This window comes from Homo sapiens, chromosome 8 (genome assembly GCF_000001405.40).
Source record: "Homo sapiens chromosome 8, GRCh38.p14 Primary Assembly".
In the NCBI taxonomy this organism is placed as follows: Eukaryota; Metazoa; Chordata; class Mammalia; order Primates; family Hominidae; genus Homo; species Homo sapiens.
Window position 1 is genome coordinate 19,356,341 of NC_000008.11, and position 18,648 is coordinate 19,374,988.

Here is an 18,648-nt window from a genome sequence, read left to right on the forward strand (position 1 = left end):
CTTTTGCTGAAATTTTAGTGACAATTTCCGATGTATGCCAAAATTAAGAACTCAGACACAAGGCATATACTTTGCGGTAATGTGGGTTGTGGGTAGGTATATCTGGGTACTCAGGACATTTGACTACCCATGTTGGGACTTAGCTTAGGCTCTGCACTCCAGCCAGGGACTGATGGGGGCCTGTGTCTTAAGAAGCACCCATTGTGATTTGCTGGCATACTTGTGATGCCAGAGGGTTGGCCTGCGGCAGGCAGGAATGACACCAGGGACTTTAGGCAATGAATCTGGGAACCCCAGTGGGGAGGTTGCCTCATGGGAAATCCATCTAGAGCAGGAGAAACATAGATACTGGGTGACAAGGGCAGGAAAAGAGGAGAATTGTGGGCCAGGCAGGGAAACTGGGCAGGGCTCCCACGCACCAAACTTGTGCTCCAGGCATGTCTGCAAGGCATCATATAGTTAAATCCAGAGACTAAGGCATTTCTTTGGCCTGCACTAAAACAGGGTATGCAGAGATTAAGCAAGAAGAGAATTTAAATAGGGGGTAATGTTGATGGCTGGAAGTTATCCCCAGGGCCCTCCAGGGCCAACTAAATGGGAGCAAAATATACCAAACCACCAGCTCCTCGCTCTTGGGCAACAATTCCTTTCTAAGCCCTACTGAGTGGGGATACTGAGGATTCACATGCCCGTTGCTGTAGTCAGGATCGGCCCAGGAACTCAGGTGCCAGTGGGAGCCTTGGGTGGATCCATCTGTAGGGGCGGGGGCAGCATTAGGGAAACCAGGGAAACATTGACAGATTATCTTATGAAACTGCACTGCAGCTCCAAATGCCATAAATGTGTTTCGTTTAATTTTTAGTCACTCTCCAGTTCTTCAAGAAATATTCAACAAATGTTGGCAGATTCAATCAATCGTATGAAGGCATATGCATTTCACCAGGTAAAAGACTTCCCTTCTGTCCTCCGGGGGCTGCATACCTAGGCATTTCCACTAATGTTTCACAGATTAGTTAATTAATCTCATGCAGAAATGAAATTAAGCAGCAGGATGGGAAATCTGTCCTAAAAGCTGCAAACACAGTTCTGCATCTTTACCCGTTTATCTGGAGTTCGGGAAGTGTTGAATGTCATGGAAAGAACAGATGCCAAGTTGTATTAGCTAAACTCCTCCCAGAAGATCTAACATAGAGGCGGCATCCCAGGCTGCTGCAGACATGGAGGGAAGACTGATTTCAGACAGTGATAAATGGAGCATTACACTTGGCAGAAAGAGTGAATTCAGATCGAGTTACTTCTGTGCTCTTTGTTTCTGAACCTGTCCCTTGAGGGTGAGCAGCTGCTGTGTCCTCCACATCCACCATGCCTGGAACCCCTTCTGGCACTCAGCCCTCTCTCACGTCCATCTAGATGTGACATTCTCCCTCCAGGCCAAGCCCTGCTTCCTCCGTCGTGTGAGCTTGCTATCATGTCATAAATTGCTCAAAATAAATGAGGCATAGACTGGTACTTGGAAGCTGTAGTAGGATTTGACCTACCGAGAGTCTGAAACAGCAGCGTAAGATGTGAGCCTGTGAAGAGAAGGTTCCTGAGATCGGGCTGTGGTGGAGGTCAGGCCAGGGACCTGTGTTCCTGTGGACCATGCCATGAATTCCATGATTCCTCTGAAGGGACATGCATGAACTTGCATTTTTAAGACTTCAAGAAATCAGGATGAAGTTGTGGAACTGTAGTCCTGTGTGCATACTGCTGATACAATACATACTTCTTTCTAAAACAGCAGCAATAGGGGATCTAAAGGACATTTTCATTAATTCTGCTTAGATCTCACTATGTCATTTTAAATGGGGACAGCTGAGGAAGACAAAGGATCGTATATTCATCCAAGCAACATTTATTGAGTGTCTACTACACACTAGGCACTGTTATGGGAGTTAGAGACACATTTTATGAAAAAATCAGACAAAATTCCTGCCTTCAGGGAGCTTATATTCTTCATGGGAGAGAGAGATGATAAACATATCTATGAGGACAGGTAATCACTTATTAAGCACTGCAGAGGAAAATAAAGCAGTATGAGGGAACTGAAGAATCCTGGGAGGATGGAATTGGGATGGGACAGGTAGTCAGAGAAGGCCACTCTGGGAAGGCAGTATTGGAGCAGAGACCTGAAGGAAAGAGGGAAGGAGCAATGTGGATGTCTAAGCCATGTGGATGTCTGTTCCAGGCAGAGGGAACAGCAAGTCAAAGACACAGAGGCACTACCTCACTTGGCATGGTGGGGAAAGGGCTGATCATTTGAGAGAATGAATGAGCCAGCTTGCTAAGCTTCTCTGTAGAACAAAGGTGATAAAACAGAGGCATCCTCCTTTGGGGACACTTGTGAGGCTCTGATGAAGGAATTGGTGGGGAGGCATTCTAAGTGCTTCCATCAACAGGCTGGACAAGAGGCTTTCTGAACGGGCCCAGCGGCTTTCTATATGGGCCCAGCGTGCCCTTGTTTTCTGGTACTGTTAGCTGAACACATTTTCACAGCTCACACCACACATCTGGGTCTCCACACCTTCCACCCTGGGCATCTGGATTAGCATCCAGCCTCGGCCCCTCCGCCCCTCCACTCCAAGCCATCACCTGGATTTCCCCATGCCTGGCTGACAGTCCTGAGTCCTGGTCCAACATGCTTCCAGCAAAACACTGCTGAAAAGGAAATGATGGTCTTCTGAATAGAGAAAGTAAACCATTACAGATTTTGATAAAAGTAAAATTCTCTCAGAGACGCAGGACAAGTTCCTTACGTTTTCTAGCTTTCTTGAATAAATACGGTGGTCAGGGCCGTATATAGATGGGTAATAGCAGATCTCATCTGCTATTACTCTGTGAAACTCGTTAATTTTTCTTCTTTTCCACTGTGCATGTACATAATTACATGCAGATTAAAGGAGTAGATTTATTAAATATAGCTCTGTTAGACATTTGAGTAACATCAACCAAGTACTACATCTGTTATTATTAATATTTTTTCTTAGGTAGAATCATGTCATGTTCCAAATTTCTTGCTTATCCTCAGCAACAATATCCATGATGATCATAGCTTGATGTTTTCACTATATGTTTCCTAACCGTTTAAAAATAAACACGTATGCATGTGGAAGGATGAACAAAGCTCCACTTTGAAGCTTTTTCTGTTTAAGCTTAGAAATTGCTAGCAGCACATGTATCTATCTTGGGCTGGCAAACAGCTTCAATCAAAGGATGGCAAATTTTAACAGTCCTTTCAAACATCAAAGCTGTCCTTTGGATTTTCAAATGTTGGCAAACAAAAGGAGCTTAGCTCTAGGCAGGAAAACAGTGTAAGGAAAAAAAAATGAAAACAGTAAATGCACAGAAGTTTAGTTACATCTGCAGTGAAGCACAATTTATGAATGATGATTACTTGAACTGTGATTTATGACTGCCCAGAGCGATCAGAAACAAGTTTCACAATATTAATGTTTATACTTTACGTTGTGGTGACATAATAGCAAGGAAGTCTTTACATTTCTGTGGGAAAGCACAAAATTAAAAAGCTTGTCACTTGTGATAGAGAGGTGGGCACAGGCAGCCCTTTCTGGCCATTTCAGTTTGTTTTATTGCTTAGCTAACCAAGGCTTTTATTAGTCCACCAAACTGTAAATTCAGTCGTCTTGTGAGCACTCAGAAGGTTGTGTCCAAATAAGCAAAGTACTTTTCAGGTCTAAGTGATTTGGTTTGTTCATTTCTCTTTCGTTTAAAATGATTTCCGTTGAATGCTCTTAATGCCAGAAAACAGTACACTAAAAAATGGTTAAGGTGGTAAATTTTGTTATGTGGAATTTTACCCTAAGTTTTAAAAACCTAATTCTCCTTTTAAAGGAATATTTACATTTTGAAAGTATTTCTCCCTTCTCAAAAGATGCTTTTGAAAAATATTTTTCTGTTTTTTTTTTTTTTTGAAACAAAAAAATACATATTCTGGCAGGGTGTGGTGGCTCATGCCTGTAATCACAGCACTTTGGGAGGCTGAGGCAGTGGATCACTTGAGGTCAGAAGTTCGAGACCAGCCTGGCCAACATGGTGAAACTCCATCTCTTCAAAAAATACAAAAATTACCCAAGTGTGATGGCACTTGCCTGTAATCCCAGCTACTCAGGAGGCTGAGGCAGGAGAATCGCTTGAACCTGGGAGGCAGAGGTTACAGTGAGCCGAGATTATACCACTGTACTCCAGCCTGGGCGAAGGAGTGAGGCTCCATCTTAAAAAAATAATAATGATATATATTTCTTTTGAAACACTTAAAATCATGTAGTAAGTACCACATTTTGGGACACATGACTCGGGGGAGAGATTCAGCTGAGATTGCTCTGGGAATGTGCATTTCTTCTGTGGAGTCTGTCAGCTACTGTAAAGTAGGTTGATGCTAGTTCTATGTAATAGTGTGTTTACATCCTTCAGGGAGTCAGTTTGAAGCAGCTAAGTACTGTGTCTGAGGAAAAGGAATATTTTTTCTTACTATATGTTATACACTGTGCCAGGGACTTCTTAAGTTATCTAATCCTCAATATAACCCTAAGAAATATTTTTTTCTCATCTTTCTTATGGGGAAACAGCCCAAGAGAGGTTCATTTGTTGCTCCTGGAGTTACACACTAGCTAGCAATGGTCAGTCTTACTTCAGGTCTTACTGACTCCAAAGTCCACACTTGATCCTTCCTAGTGGGCCAGAGAGTTAGATAGAAGTCAGCTGTGCCGGGTACCCCGTCCTTCAGGAAACTGCTGGATTTGCTCACCAAGGTTCTTTTTTTGTTTTGTTTTGTTTTTGTTTTTTTTTGTTTTGTTTTTAAACAGAAGAAAGAATCTATGAAGAAAAAACAAGATGAAGAAATAAATCAAATAGAAGAAGAGAGAACGAAGCAGATTTGTAAGAGCTGGAAAGAAGACTCGGAATGGCAGGCATCTCGTGAGTACCCAGAGGTCTCCATAGCACCTTCCAGGCTCTCAGCTGATTCTCTCCCTTAATAATGTGATCAATCTAGAAAGCGCTTAATGTGGGTTGTTGAGAGATATGTTCACAGTAAGTTACCACTCAAATGTTATTACTAACTTATTACTCAAATGCTTACAGGCTACTTTTGAACAGCAGACTCGTTCTCCATTTATTTCTGTATCACCAAAATTATGATGTAATTTATCAAATAGCATGATATATAGCTATGGAAAATAGGTTTTGGAGAGTGTTTAATGATCTTAGACTGTTTATATCTCATTAGCTTGGGGAAGAAAAAACACCATGAAATAGAATGAAAAGCTTCGCTATTTAGAAATGTCTAAGTATCTGAAGGAAAAGAACTGGAAGGTTATAATAACATGTAAACATTAGTTTTCTTGGAAAGGTGAGATTCAAGATTATTTATTTGAATGTTTTTCTTGTAATTTAATATTGTGTTTTGGATTTTTTTTCCCCTAAATTTTTGATAGTGAATACATTTTAACTTTGTAATCAGAAGCACACAGGAATACCAGGCTGGATGTGTTAGCATCCCGCTCCTGCCTGTGACCCAGCCTTGACTCCTATTTGAGTGAGCAGAATGGGTGAGAAAACTCATAGGAGAAGAATAAGCCCATGCAACTGAAGGCAGAGGAGAGGATGCTCCAGAATGCTAGAAGAATTAGGTTTGTGAAAGAATTAGTGTTTCCATCTGACTCAGAGAAATCTGAACTGCTAGATCAACCTGAGGTGGCTTGAGGAAGACAGCAGGTATGGCTATATTTGCAGGATGTTGAGATCCTACATTGATCTGCAGTCCCATTACAACCAATGCCATTTAAATGACAACTACTGTGAAATGAAAATATTTGCAAGATCCAGTAGGCTCTTTGTACTATGCACTGAAATCCTAGCATAAGGGAATATTTTGGGTGTCTCTTTGAAGTCAAGTATAACAGGATTTGACCAATACTGCCTGAAGTGTAAATATAGTCAATAAAAATCATTTTTACATTCTGCATTTGAGTCTCATTGCTATAACAAAAAATTCTGTTTTACAAAGTAGTCATGCGCTGTATGATGTTTTGGTCAACGATGGGTCGCATATAGTTTTTAGGCCAGGCACTGTGTCTCACTCCTGTAATCCCAGCCTTTTGGGAGGCCAAGGTGGGTGGATCACTTCAGGTCATGAGTTCAAGACCAGCCTGGCCAACATGGTGAAACTCCATCTCTACTAAAAATACAAAAATTAGCTGGTTGTGGTGGCGTACACCTGTAGTCCCAGCTACTCAGGAGGCTGAGGCAGGAGAATTGCTTGAACCAGGGAGGCGGAGGTTGCAGTGAGCCGAGATCGTACCACTGCACTTCAGCCTGGGCAATGTAGCAAGACTGAGTCTCAAAAACAAAACAAAACAAAACAAAAAAAACACAGACACACACATACAGAAAACCAAAAAATAATAATAAAACCCCAAAATAATGGGTTGCATACATTTTTAAAATAAATTTTATAAATGTAGTGTAGCCTAAGTGTAAAGTGTTTACAAAGTCAACATCAGTGTGTAGTAATGTCCTAGGTCTTAACATTCACTGAGCACTCACTCACTGACTCATCCCAGAGCAACTTCCAGTCCTGCAAGCTCCATTCATGGTAAGTGCCTTATGTAGAGGCACCATTTTTTTTTGTCCTCTATACCATATTTTTACTATACCTTTGCTATGTTGGGGGTATTGATTATTTTTATTTTTTTGAGATGGAGTTTCGCTCTTGTCACCCAGGCTGGAGTGCGATGGTGTGATCTCAGTTCACTGCAACCTCCGCCTCCTGGTTTCAAGGGATTCTCCCGCCTCAGCCTCCCCAGTAGCTAGGATTACAGGCGCCTGCCACCATGCTCAGCTAATTTTTTGTATTTGTAGTAGAGTTGGGGTTTCACCATGTTGGCCAGGCTAGTCTCAAGCTCCTGACCTCAGGTGACCCACCGACCTTGGCCTCTCAAAGTGCAGGTATTACAGGTATGAGCCACTGTGCCCGGCCTTATGTTGGGGGTATTTAGACACACAAATACTCTTGTGTTACAGTTGCCTTATGATGCATTTCTCAGGATTTATTTCTCTCATTAAGTCACTAGTGACTGTAATATTAAAAGGCAGACTTGGGGTACTTTTTTGTGTACTAATGTGTCCTACAATTACCTGTGGTTAAGCATCCCTTTAATTTTTTGTCTGTCAGGTTGCTTCTCATTCTGTCCTGCTCTCTGCTCCTTCACCCTATGCACAGCCCCATGCCACTGAGTAGTCCTGATCTCTGCTAGTGAGTCAAGCACACTGCATCTGAACATAAGTCATGCAGGGCGTGACAATTGCCTCTTATTACTCAGCACCCCTGCCAGCTTGAACCCATGCTCAGGCGGGGGATCCTCACTTGGTCTTGCCAACTGCAGGAAATTCTTGCACACTTTCTCTACTTCTCTCTCATCCCTTCTTCCTCCTCTTCCTTTTCTCTCCCTCTCAGAAAACCCCCAGTCCTGTATGAAGAGAGGAATCCTGCAGCGAACGCTGGGCAAGCCCTAATGGCCTGGATCATAGGTGTTGATAATGATTGTTCCTTATTATAAGCAGACAACAAACTGCTGAGAACCTGCGCTGCTGCCCGTTGTGCAATGAATGCTGAGCCTTCTCACCTGCTCTGTGGGCTGATGAGGGTTTTCTCCGACCCCGTTGTTTTTCCAGTGCGAAAATCCAAAGCAGCTGATGAGAAGAGACGCTCCTTGGCTAAACAAGCACGAGAAGACTACAAGAGGTTATCCCTCGGGGCCCAGAAAGGAAGAGGCGGTGAGAGGCTGCAAAGCCCCTTGCGTGTTCCGCAGAAACCAGAAAGACCTCCCCTTCCACCCAAGCCTCAGTTCCTAAACTCAGGGGCATATCCTCAAAAACCTCTTAGGTAAGAAGCCACACAGATGGGTTTATGCATAAACATTGCAATGGGCTTTGAATAAGCGTTGAAATTAAAGGGGAATTGTATGAGCTGCCATGGGGTGTGGAGGGCCAACTGGCAGCCTGTGTAAGTAGCTCAGGTTCATGTCTAAGCCTTCTTCCTGGGTGATCTGGGCGGGCATTCCTCCCTTTTTTAGCTGTCAAATGTCCATAGCTGTTATACTTAGTATACCCAGTGAAATAGTAAAGCTGTGCATGGAATGAGAGAACTTCCCGTGTCCCTACCCCACTCTCCCCTTTCCCTCCCCCGCCCCCCTCCCCCCCAGAGGCAGCCGGTGAGCCAGTGAGGGGAGAAGAGGAAACAAGTGGGGTTTCACTGATGCCCAAGATCACCCTTAGTCAAAGATTATCAAAGTAGGAACCCAAAGGCTTGCTGACTTTCGTGTGATCAGTGGGAGTACATTTTCACTGCCAAGGATTAAAGGTTTGATGGTAATTCTCATTCACGGATACATAGCCAAGTTCCTCTTTTAAGAATTTGGAAAGCCTCCTTTTTTAGATGAATTGTCTATTTGGTGGTGGAGATACCATTGTCTGCTAGGCTGTGGAAGAATTAGGAAGAACCATTTGTTCTGGAAAAACTGTAGAAAAGTGCAATGATGCTATTAAACCCCCATCCCTTATGTTTGCTGATTCTAAATTTTTTTCTGGTTATTGATCTTATTTTTAACATCCTAGTATTTAGAAAGAAGTATTAAAATCAAATGTTGATTGAAAGAAACAGAATTGTCTAAAGCCTTGCATTCTGAAATAAAAACTAAAAATAATTTGAAATACTTCTCTAAGATTATGGAGAAATGAAAAATAAGACTCTTCTCCTGCTTGGAGTCGTAGTTATCTTCAAGGTTGTCTTTAAACAGGAGTGATGACCTCAGGGGAAACACAAAGGCGGATGTTTTTCTTTGCTGTAATTATTTCTACTTACTCTACTGGAAAGTTCCGTTTCGGGAAGTGGGGACCAACGTGGAACTCAGTGGAGTAAGTGGAAATAATTACAGTAAAGACCATGATCTCCAAAGTGATCGTTTGGGTAATGATTCTTCTCTTACCGACAACAAAGCAAGAAATGTAGTCAGGAAATAGGAGTCTCTTAATTGTGAGAACAGCTGACAAAGGTGCACACGGCTCTAAGTGCTGGAGCTTGTCTGTCCGCACGTTGGCGACAGAGCCTCAGCAGGGATGTTTTTGCAGCTAACTCCTGTTCACCGTCTCTTCCAAAGGTAGCATGGAAATGACTTGTAGATGTCCCTGTCCCACAGCATTTTGAAGGACAGTATATTTGATTGACAGCAATGAAGGTGGTCTTTAAAAAAGGGCAATTCCTATTTTCAGCTGTGCTCAGTTAGCTCATTTTTTCCAACTGAAGACACTGCATGAAGTGCTTTTTGTGAGTCAGACTGGGTGGTTTTAGGGCTGGGACTTGACACAGGGATGGCAGAGGTCACCTCAGAGCCACCCCAGGAAAAGACAGACCGGCTCCTACAGTGTCTGTGGAGTTTTGCTCGATCTCCAAGGACTTCCCAAAAAAGAGCCTAATTTGGAAGCTAGTAAGAGAATGTATAATATAACTTCGTATGTGTGCAGTGTCTGCCTCCCAGGGAAGTAAATATTATAGGATATTTTCTCGAAAATGCTCCGAAAATCATTAGGGATAATATATACACATACATGCATATGTACAACTATATATATATATATCTGACAGTATGTCACACGTAACTCAGAAGCACATGTTATAAAAAGCGTAAAGAACCATAAGTTGGTCAATTACAATACTAGTAGTTCATCGAAACTTGATTGTGGTGGTTGTGTTTCATAAATTGTATTTTGTTTTTAATTGACACAATAATTGTATGTATTTATGGGATACAGTGTGATGTTTTGATACATATATATATATTGTGTAGTGATCAAATCAGTATAACTCACATATGAATCACCTCAAACACTTGTCATTTCTTTGTGGTGAGAACATTCAAAATCCTATCTTTTGGCTGTTTTGAAGTATGTAGTACATTACTGTTGACTGTGGTTACCGTGCTGTGCAGTAGAGCAGCAGAACTTATTTCTGCTGTCTCACTGTAACTGCGCCAGTTGACCAACCTCTCCCTATTTACCATCCCCCCTACTCTCCCCAGCCTCTGCTAACCACTGTTCCATACTTCTATAAGATCAACCTGGCTGGGTGTGGTGGCTTATGCCTGCAATCCCAGCACTTTGAGAGGCCGAGGTGGGTGGATCATGAGGTCAGGAGTTCGAGACCAGCCCGACCAACATGGTGAAACCCCGTATTTACTAAAAATACAAAAATAAGCCTGGTGTGGCGTGCACCTGTAATTCCAGCTACACTGGAGGCTGAGGCAGGAGAATCACTTGAACCCAGGAGGCGAAGGCTGTTGTGAGCCAAGATCACACCACTGCACTCCAGCCTGGATGACAGAGTGAGACTCTGTCTCAACAACAACAAAAAAGATCAACCTTTTTGATTCCACAGAAGAGTGAGGTCATGCAGTGTTTGTCCTTCTGTGTTTGGCTTATTTCACTTAACAATGTCCTCTAGTTCATCCATTTTGTTGCAAATGACAGGACATTATTCTTTTTATGGATCTTTTGTTCTCTTTAATTTTTTTGAGGAACTTCATACCGTTGTTTATGATGGTATGCTAATTTATATTCCTACCATCAGGCAATGAGAGTTCTCCTTTCTCCAGATTCTCACCAGCAATTTTTTTTATTGCAAATGACAGGATATTATACTTTTTATGTCTGAATAATATTCTATTGTGTATATACACCACATTTTCTTGATTGATTCATTGTTGGACAACTAGGTTGATTCCATATCTTGGCTATTGTGAATAGTGCTGCAATAAACATGGGAGTGCAAGTATCTCTTTGACATACTGATTTCATTTCCTTTTGACGTAGACCCAGTAGTGGGATTGTTGGAGCTTTTGTTCTACTTTTAATTTTTTGAGAAACTTCATATGGTTGTCTATAATGGTATACTAATTTATATTCTTACTAGCAGGCTATGAGAGTTCTCCTTTCTCTAGATTCTCACCAGCATTTGTTTTTGGTTTGTCTTTTTGATAACCAAAAATAAAAAACTGGGCAAGGTGATATTGTGGTTTTGATGTGCATTTCCCTGATTAGTGGTATTGGGCATTTTTTTCGTACACCTGTTGGTCATTCGTATGTCTTCTTTTGAGAAATGCCTATTGAGGTTTTTTCTTATTTGGATTATTTGTTTTTTTGCTATTGAGTTTGAGTTCCTATATTGATGCTTTGTCAGATACATAGTTTATGAATATTTTCTCCCTTTCTGTAACTTGTCTCTTTACTCTGTTGATTGTTTCCTTTGCTGCAGCAGAATCCTTTTTAGCTTGATATAATCCCATTTGTCTATTTTTCTTCGGTTGCCTGTGCTTTTGAGGTGTTACTTTTTAAAAATCTGGGGCTAGGCGTGGTGGCTCATACCTATAATCCCAGCACTTTGGGAGGCTGGGGTGGGAGGATTGCTTGAGGCCAGGAGTTTGAGAGAAGCCTGAGCAACATAGGGAGACAGTCATCCCTATGAACAAATTAAAAATAAAAATCCTTGCTCAGACTGATGTCCTCAAGTGTTTCCCCAGTATTTTCTTTTGGTAGCTTCATGGCCTCATATATTCAAGTCTTTAATCCATTTTGAGCTGATTTTTGCACATAGCAAGAGTAGGTAGTTTCATTCTTATACATGTCACTATCTAGTTTTCTCAGTACCATATATTGAAGAGACTATCCTTTCTCCAGTAGGTGTTCTTGGTGCTTTTATTGAAAATCAGTTGACTGTAAATGTGTGGATTTATTTCTGGGTTCTTTATTCTGTTTCATTGTTTATGTGTGTGTTTTTATGCCAGCACCATGCTGTTTTGATTACTATAGATTTGTAGTATATTTTAAAGTCATTTAGTGTGATGCCTCCCAGCTTTGTTCCTTATGCTACAAATTGTTCTGGCAATTCGTAGTAGTCTTTTCTGGTTGCATAGAAATTTTGAAAGTTTTTTCTTTTTCTGTGAAAGATATCATTGGTATTTTGATAGGAATTACATTGAATCAGATCTTTTTGGGTAGTACAGCCATTTTGACTATTAATTTTTCTAATCCATGGACATGGGATGTCTATTTTTTTGTTGCCTTTCATTAGTGTTTTATAGTTTTTCTTGTAAAGACATTTCACCTCCTTGGTTAAATTTATTCCTAGTTATTTTATTTTATTTTATTTTGCTATTGTAAATAAAATTGCTTTTTTTTTTTTTTGTTAGTCCATTGTTGATGCATAGAGATGCTACTGATTTTTGTAAGTTTATTTCATATACTACAATTTCCCTGAATTTTATCAGGACTAAGAGTTTTTTGGTGCAGCTTCTAGGGTTTTCTGTATGTAAGATCAGGTCATCTGCAAACAGACAATTTGAGTTCCTCTTTTCCAATTTGGATGTGCTTCATTGCTTTCTCTTGACTCATTCCTGTGCCTAGGACTTTCAGTACTATGTTGAATAAAAGTGATGAAAGTGGACATTCTTGTTTTGTTCCAAGTTTTAAAGGAAAAACTTTCCATTTTTCCTCTTTCAGCATGTAAACTGTGATTTTGTCATATATGACCTGTATTGGGTTGAGGTACATTCCTTCTGTACTTAATGTGTTTAAAGGTTTTATCATGAAGGGATATTGAATTTTAGTAAATGCTTTACCTGTGTCTGTTGAGATGATCTTGTGGTCTTTGTCTTTTATTCTGTTAATGTGATGTGTCATGTTCATTGATTCGTTTATGTTGAACCATCCTTGCGTCCCTGAGATGAATTTCCTTTGAACATGGTGAAGGATGTTTTTGATGTGCTGTTGGATTTGGTTTGCTAGTATTTTGTTGTGGATTTTTGTATCTATGTTCATCATCATCAGGAATATTGGCCTCTAGATTTCTTTTTTTGTTGTGTCTTTGTCTGGTTTTGATATCAAGGTAATGCTGACTTCATAGAATGAGTTAGGAAGAATTCCTCCAACTTCAGTTTTTTGCAGTAGTTTGAGAAGAATTGGTATTAGTATTTCTTTAAATGATTGATAGGATTTGGTAGTGAATCCATCAGGTCCTGGGCTTTTTTTGATAGGACACTTTATTAATGATTCAGTCTCGTTAGTCATTATTGGTCTGTTAAGTTTTCTGTTTTTTCATGAGTGAATTTTGGTAGGTTGTATGTGTCCAGGAATTTATTGATTTACTTCCAAGTTTTCCATTTTGTTGACATACAGTTGTTGATAATAGTCTCTAGTGATCTTTTTATTTCTGTGGTATCAGTTGTGATGTCTCCTTTTTCATCTCTGATTTTATTTATTTGAGTCATCTCTTTTTCTTTGTGTAGCTAAACTTATGTGAGTTTTGTTATTAAAACCACTCTTCATTTCATTCATATTTTGCACAGTTCTGTAGTCTCTATTTTATCTATTTATGCTCTGATCTTTGTTATATTTCCTTCAACTAATGTTGCATCAAGTTCTTGTTTTTCTAGTTCTTGTGGTACAACAATAAAATTACTTATTTGATATCTTTCTACTTTTTTGATATGTGTGTTTATTGGAATAAACATCACTCTTAGAACTGCTTTTGCTGTATCCCATAGGATTTGGTATGTTGTTTTCATTTTCATTCGTCTCAAGAACATTTTTGGTTTCTGAAATTTATTTATTGACCCATTGGTTGTTCAGGTGCATGTTTAATTTCCACATATTTGTTTCTAGTTTTCCTCCTATTACTGATTTCTTGATAAGTTTTAACTTAAAACAATTTAAGAATTGTTTTGTGGCCTAACATATTCCTAGAGAGTATTCTATTTGCTGTTGAGATACTGTGTATTCTGCAGCTGGTTGATTAGAATAGTCTATAATTGTCTGTTAGGTACATTCTAGAGTGTGGTTTAATTGTTGATTTTCTGTCGGTATGATCTGTTCATTGTAGAAAGTGGGGTGTTGAAGTCCTCTACTATTGTTGTATTGCAGTCTTTCTATGTAGGTATATTAATATTTGCTTTCTAAATTTAGGTGCTTCCATGTTAATTGAGTACATATATATTTATAACTGTTCTTGCTGTATTGAACTCTTTATTATTGTATACTGGCCTTCTTTGTCTCTTCTTACAGTTTTCAGCTTCAGGTCTGCTTTATATGATATAAATATAGCTACTCCTGTTGTCTTTTGGTTTCCATTTGCATACAATGTTTTTTCCCCATTCTTTCCCTTCCAGACTATGCATGTCCTTACAGGTGAAGTTAGCCCCTTGCAGGCAATGTATAATTTGGTATTGTTTCATTTTTATTTAGCCACTCTATGCCTTTTAATTGGAGAATTTATCCATTGATATGCAAGGTAATTATTGATATGTAAGGGCTTACTATGGCAATTTTCCTTCTTATTTTCTAGTTATTCTGTAGATCCTTTCTTCTCTTATAGTCTTTGTGGTTAGGCACTTTTCTCTAGTAGTACATTTTGGTTCCTTTTTATCTTTGGTGTATCTGTTATAGATTTTTGCTTTGTGGTTACCATGAGACTTACAAAAACATCCTATAGTTATAACAAGTTATTTTAGAGACTTACAAACTTTGTGAAGGAAAGAAACAAAAAAACTGTACACTTTACCTCCATTCTCTCCTTGCATTTTGTATTTTTGAGTGATGACTTACATTTTTATATTACCTATCTTGTTATTAAAGTTATTTTTGATAGTTCATTTTTTAGTCTTCATATTAAGTTCGTTTTTAGTCTTCATATCTTTATATTAAAGATATAAGTGGTTTACACATCATGATGATAGTATTATAACAAAAATCATGTTAGCATCCAGTTTATGTTTGAAGAACTATTTTTTAGCATTTCTTATAGGCCAAGTCTGGTAGTGGTAAATTCCCTCAGCTTTTGTTTGTGTGGAAAAATCTTTCTCTTTCCTTTTCTGAAGGAATACTTTGCTGTGTGCAGTATTCTGGGTTGCATTTTTTTTTTCCTTCAGTCTCAGCATGTATCATCTCACTTCTTTCTGGCCTATACGGTTTCTTCTGAGAAGTCTGCTGCTGGGTGTATTGGATCTGTCTTACATGTTATTTGCTGCTTTTCTTTAGCTGCTTTTAGGATCCTCTATTTGTCTCTGCACTCTGAGGGTTTGATTATAATATGTCTTGGGGTATTCCTATGTAGGTTGAATCTGACTGGTGACCTTCGATCATCCTATGCTTGGCTATTAATTTTTTTCCAGGTTTGGAAAGTTTTCTGTTATTATTTCTTTGCATAAGCATTTAACCCCTTTGTCTTCCTGAATTCCCTCTTTAATAACTCCAATATTTACTCTTTTGATGTTGTCCCACAGACCCCATAAGCTTTCTTCATGTCATTGTTTTCTTTTTTATCTCTGTGTATTTTCAAATAGCCTGTCTTCTGGCTCACTAATAAGTGTACTGTTGAAACCCTCTATTGCATTTTTCATTTTATTCATTGCATTTTTCGGCTCCAGGATTTGATTTTTTAAAATTACTTCAGTCTTTCTGCTACATTTCCCTGATAAATTTTTGAATTGACTCTGTTCTTTCTTGAAGTTTGTTGAGCTTTCTTAAAACAGCTATTTTGAATTGTTTCAGAGATCACACATCTCTATGACTTTAGGCTTGACCTGTGGTATCTTATTTTGTACACTTGGTGAGGTCATATTGTCCTGAGTCTTCTTGATGCTTGTGTATGTGTGACAATATCTGCACATTTAAGGATTAGGCTTTTATTCCACTCTCCACAGCCTGGCTTTATTTGTGCCTGTCTTTCAGAGGCCCTTCCAGAAATTCTAAAGCAACTTAGAATTCTTAAATTGTTTCCTGAGCCTGTGACCACTGCAGCCATCTCAGCACTAGAGGGCGCTCCAAGTCCAGGCTTGCTGCAGCTCTCCCAAGGGCTCTATGATTTACACAGCTCTCCCTCCCTGATGGACCTGAGGAAGAACTCAAGGAGGGTACAGGGGCTGTGTGGGAAAGCTGGTCAGGGACTCCAGTACAGAAGACTGTTTTAATGACCCAGACAAGTGTGTCTCCTAGTGCATCCCTGCAGGGAATGGATACTTCCTTGGCTTTAGTGGTGGGAGGGGATGGAGCTGATATTGGACCCCATCAGCATCTGTTTTTGGAGAGTGGCTGGAGAGCACATCTCATTGGCTCAGATAGACGCTTGTCTCCCAGCAGGTGCCTCTACAGACAGGATAGTTCACTGACTGCAGTGGTGTTGTTGTGTTTAAATTGAATTCTGCTCAAAATTAGTACGCTGTTGAGTAGGACTTGGAAGTCTGTTTATTACATTGCAAGGTTACTCTTTGTAGTAGAAATTGACTTACATCCTAGAACTTAGGTTCTGCTACTGAATCTATTTCAAAATGATTCTGCTGCCTGTATCTTTGTCTTTTCAAACTTCAAATACTCTTCTTCCTTTTACTTTGTATTTCTTTACTTTTTTTTTTTTTTAGCAGAACTAAATGTCATCAAAGTGTGGAAGAGGATAAAGCAAGTCAGGGAGGTTAGTGGAAAGAGAAGAGAAAATCAAATAATGCAAACATTAGGAAAGAAATCTATCTTATTGCATTTGATTTCTATTGTTTGCAAATACCTGCTTTCCAGGAAAATGTGCTGGGGTAAAAGTGTATTTTGCCTTTTAATGCTTATTTTCTCAGATGTTAATTGGAAGTTAATGGAGCTTATAATTCCTATACAAATGAACTTAAATCTGTGTGTTAACACAGCAGTGGCTCATTTCTATAACTAGCCCTTTAAGACTGGAAGCACAAGTGACAGATTTATATTCCTTCCTCTTCTGCCCTTGAGGAGGTGTATAATGGTAGTGTGTCAGGGCTCCAGCCTCCTGTTAGCTGAGGTCATTGAATTAGATCTGGAAATGTGTATAATTCCCTCTCCCTCCCATTCTCTCTCTCCCCCCACCCCCACACACACATGTGTATATATATATATATGTATATATATTTGCATGTATAAAGCACCTCTGGTGTCTACAGACATGCATGTATATATATGCATGTATATGTATGTGTGTGTGTATATATATATATATATATATGACTTTTGAGGGCATTATTTTCAAATTAGTTAAATCTAACTTGAAAAACTTTTATAAATAACAGAAATCAGGGAGTGGTGAGGACACTGTCCAGCTCTGCCCAAGAGGACATCATCCGGTGGTTTAAAGAGGAGCAGCTACCACTTCGAGCGGGCTACCAGAAAACCTCAGACACCATAGCCCCCTGGTTCCATGGTGAGTGCAGAGATTTCCTCAATGGTGTTTCGTCTTAGGGCGGATGAAGCTGTGCTAATCTACCAGGAAGCCAGAATAAAAGCTTCCATTTATTGGTGCTGCCCAAAAAGAGTCTTTCAGATTATTTCACAAAGCAGTTTTTCAAAGACGCCTCAGTAAGCTGCATTCTCATGACTGTTTAGAAAGCAGTCAGCATTCATGGGCACTGTATGCACTGTGGGGCAGACTTATCACCACAAATAAAATGCATCAGATGGGAGGGCAAAGAGGCATTCCTGGTGACTTACCACTAGGGTGCTTGTTTGTGACTTCCATCAAATGGCCACGTCTTCCTTTCACCGAGGGACACACAGTCATGGGTGTGGGAATGTGCTGGACAGGACACTGGCTGAGCAACCTTGAACAAATCATTACTTTTTCCGTAGGAAATCAATTTAAGCCTCATTTTCCCCATCTGTTAAATGAAGGAGTTGAACTTTGTGGTCTTGGAAGTGAAAACTTCTGTAGTTTTGATTCCTTGCTTCCAGTATGTAGTTGAGTGTGTAACATAGGTGGTTGGATCCTGAGCAGATATCAGCTAGTAAACATTTTCTGTATTTGACCCAAGAAACTTGATTCAAGCCCCTCTTCCACCCAGCAGATACTTCACAGGCCCCTCTGTTTCTTGGATCTCAAGAAAAGTGAGTGGCTTCTTGCCTTAGTTGACTTCCATAAGGTCTGTGGTTGAATTGGACTAATTGGCTATATGGACAACAAAAGGTGCTTTAAAACAAAAATACAGTCCCCTCCCAGAGTATGTTTGTCCTAAGCATGTCTTGGTTTGCATTATGTTTAAGGCATCTTTCCTCAAAGTAGTATCATCTCACACAGAAATATACCCACAAAAAGGAAACTCCCAAACACATATCATGGGAAACTCTTCTAAAAGGAATAGCTATTTGTGACAGGCTTTCTCCTAAAGCGCTGCTTGTGTGGTCAGAACGTCACAGAAGAACTGTCTGGCGTCTCTTGGAAGTATGTGTTCTTTGGTGATTCAGACTTTGTTAAGTATCCATCTCAGAGGAGTCCCCTCTCCTTCCCAGGATGAGGTTGCAAGCCTCCTTCCTTTCTGCTTGAAGACAATGAGAGAGAGATGATGGTGTCAAAGATGAACAGAAAGAACATGGGCCAATTATGCATTAGCCGCGGCTGTCTCAGCTGTCTAATAATGCCTTGCTTTCCTTTTTAAAATAAGCACCGAGGAAATCAGCCACTTTGTAGTTTCTGTATCTTTGGACAGAAGATGCTGTCATCTCTGATTATAAGAAGGGTAGTTTTTTTAACAGCAG

The 18,648-nt window shown here is 39.8% G+C and overlaps 1 protein-coding gene across 8 annotated transcripts in view, besides 1 other annotated feature; it reads left to right on the plus strand.

The window, feature by feature from the left end:
• SH2D4A (SH2 domain containing 4A) overlaps positions 1 to 18,648 on the plus strand; it is an 82,526-nt gene that overhangs the window by 42,648 nt on the left and 21,230 nt on the right. For 3 of the 8 annotated variants that reach the window (NM_022071.4, NM_001174160.2, NM_001174159.2), the window contains 4 exons: positions 863 to 943; positions 4,863 to 4,974; positions 7,732 to 7,942; positions 17,190 to 17,320. In NM_022071.4, coding sequence (NP_071354.2) covers positions 863 to 943; positions 4,863 to 4,974; positions 7,732 to 7,942; positions 17,190 to 17,320 — 535 coding nt within the window. The remainder of the gene's footprint in view (positions 1 to 862; positions 944 to 4,862; positions 4,975 to 7,731; positions 7,943 to 17,189; positions 17,321 to 18,648) is intronic. The other 5 variants (NR_156444.2, XM_047422079.1, NM_001363110.2 and 2 more) reach the window with 3 other exon arrangements.
• Positions 16,156 to 16,317: a silencer, noted in NCBI's record as "fragment chr8:19230007-19230168 (GRCh37/hg19 assembly coordinates)". NCBI's record gives its function as "represses an EF-1alpha promoter that drives an FKBP-Casp9 reporter gene in an ReSE screen in K562 erythroleukemia cells {active_cell/tissue: K562}" and the evidence as "EXISTENCE:reporter gene assay evidence [ECO:0000049][PMID:32094911]".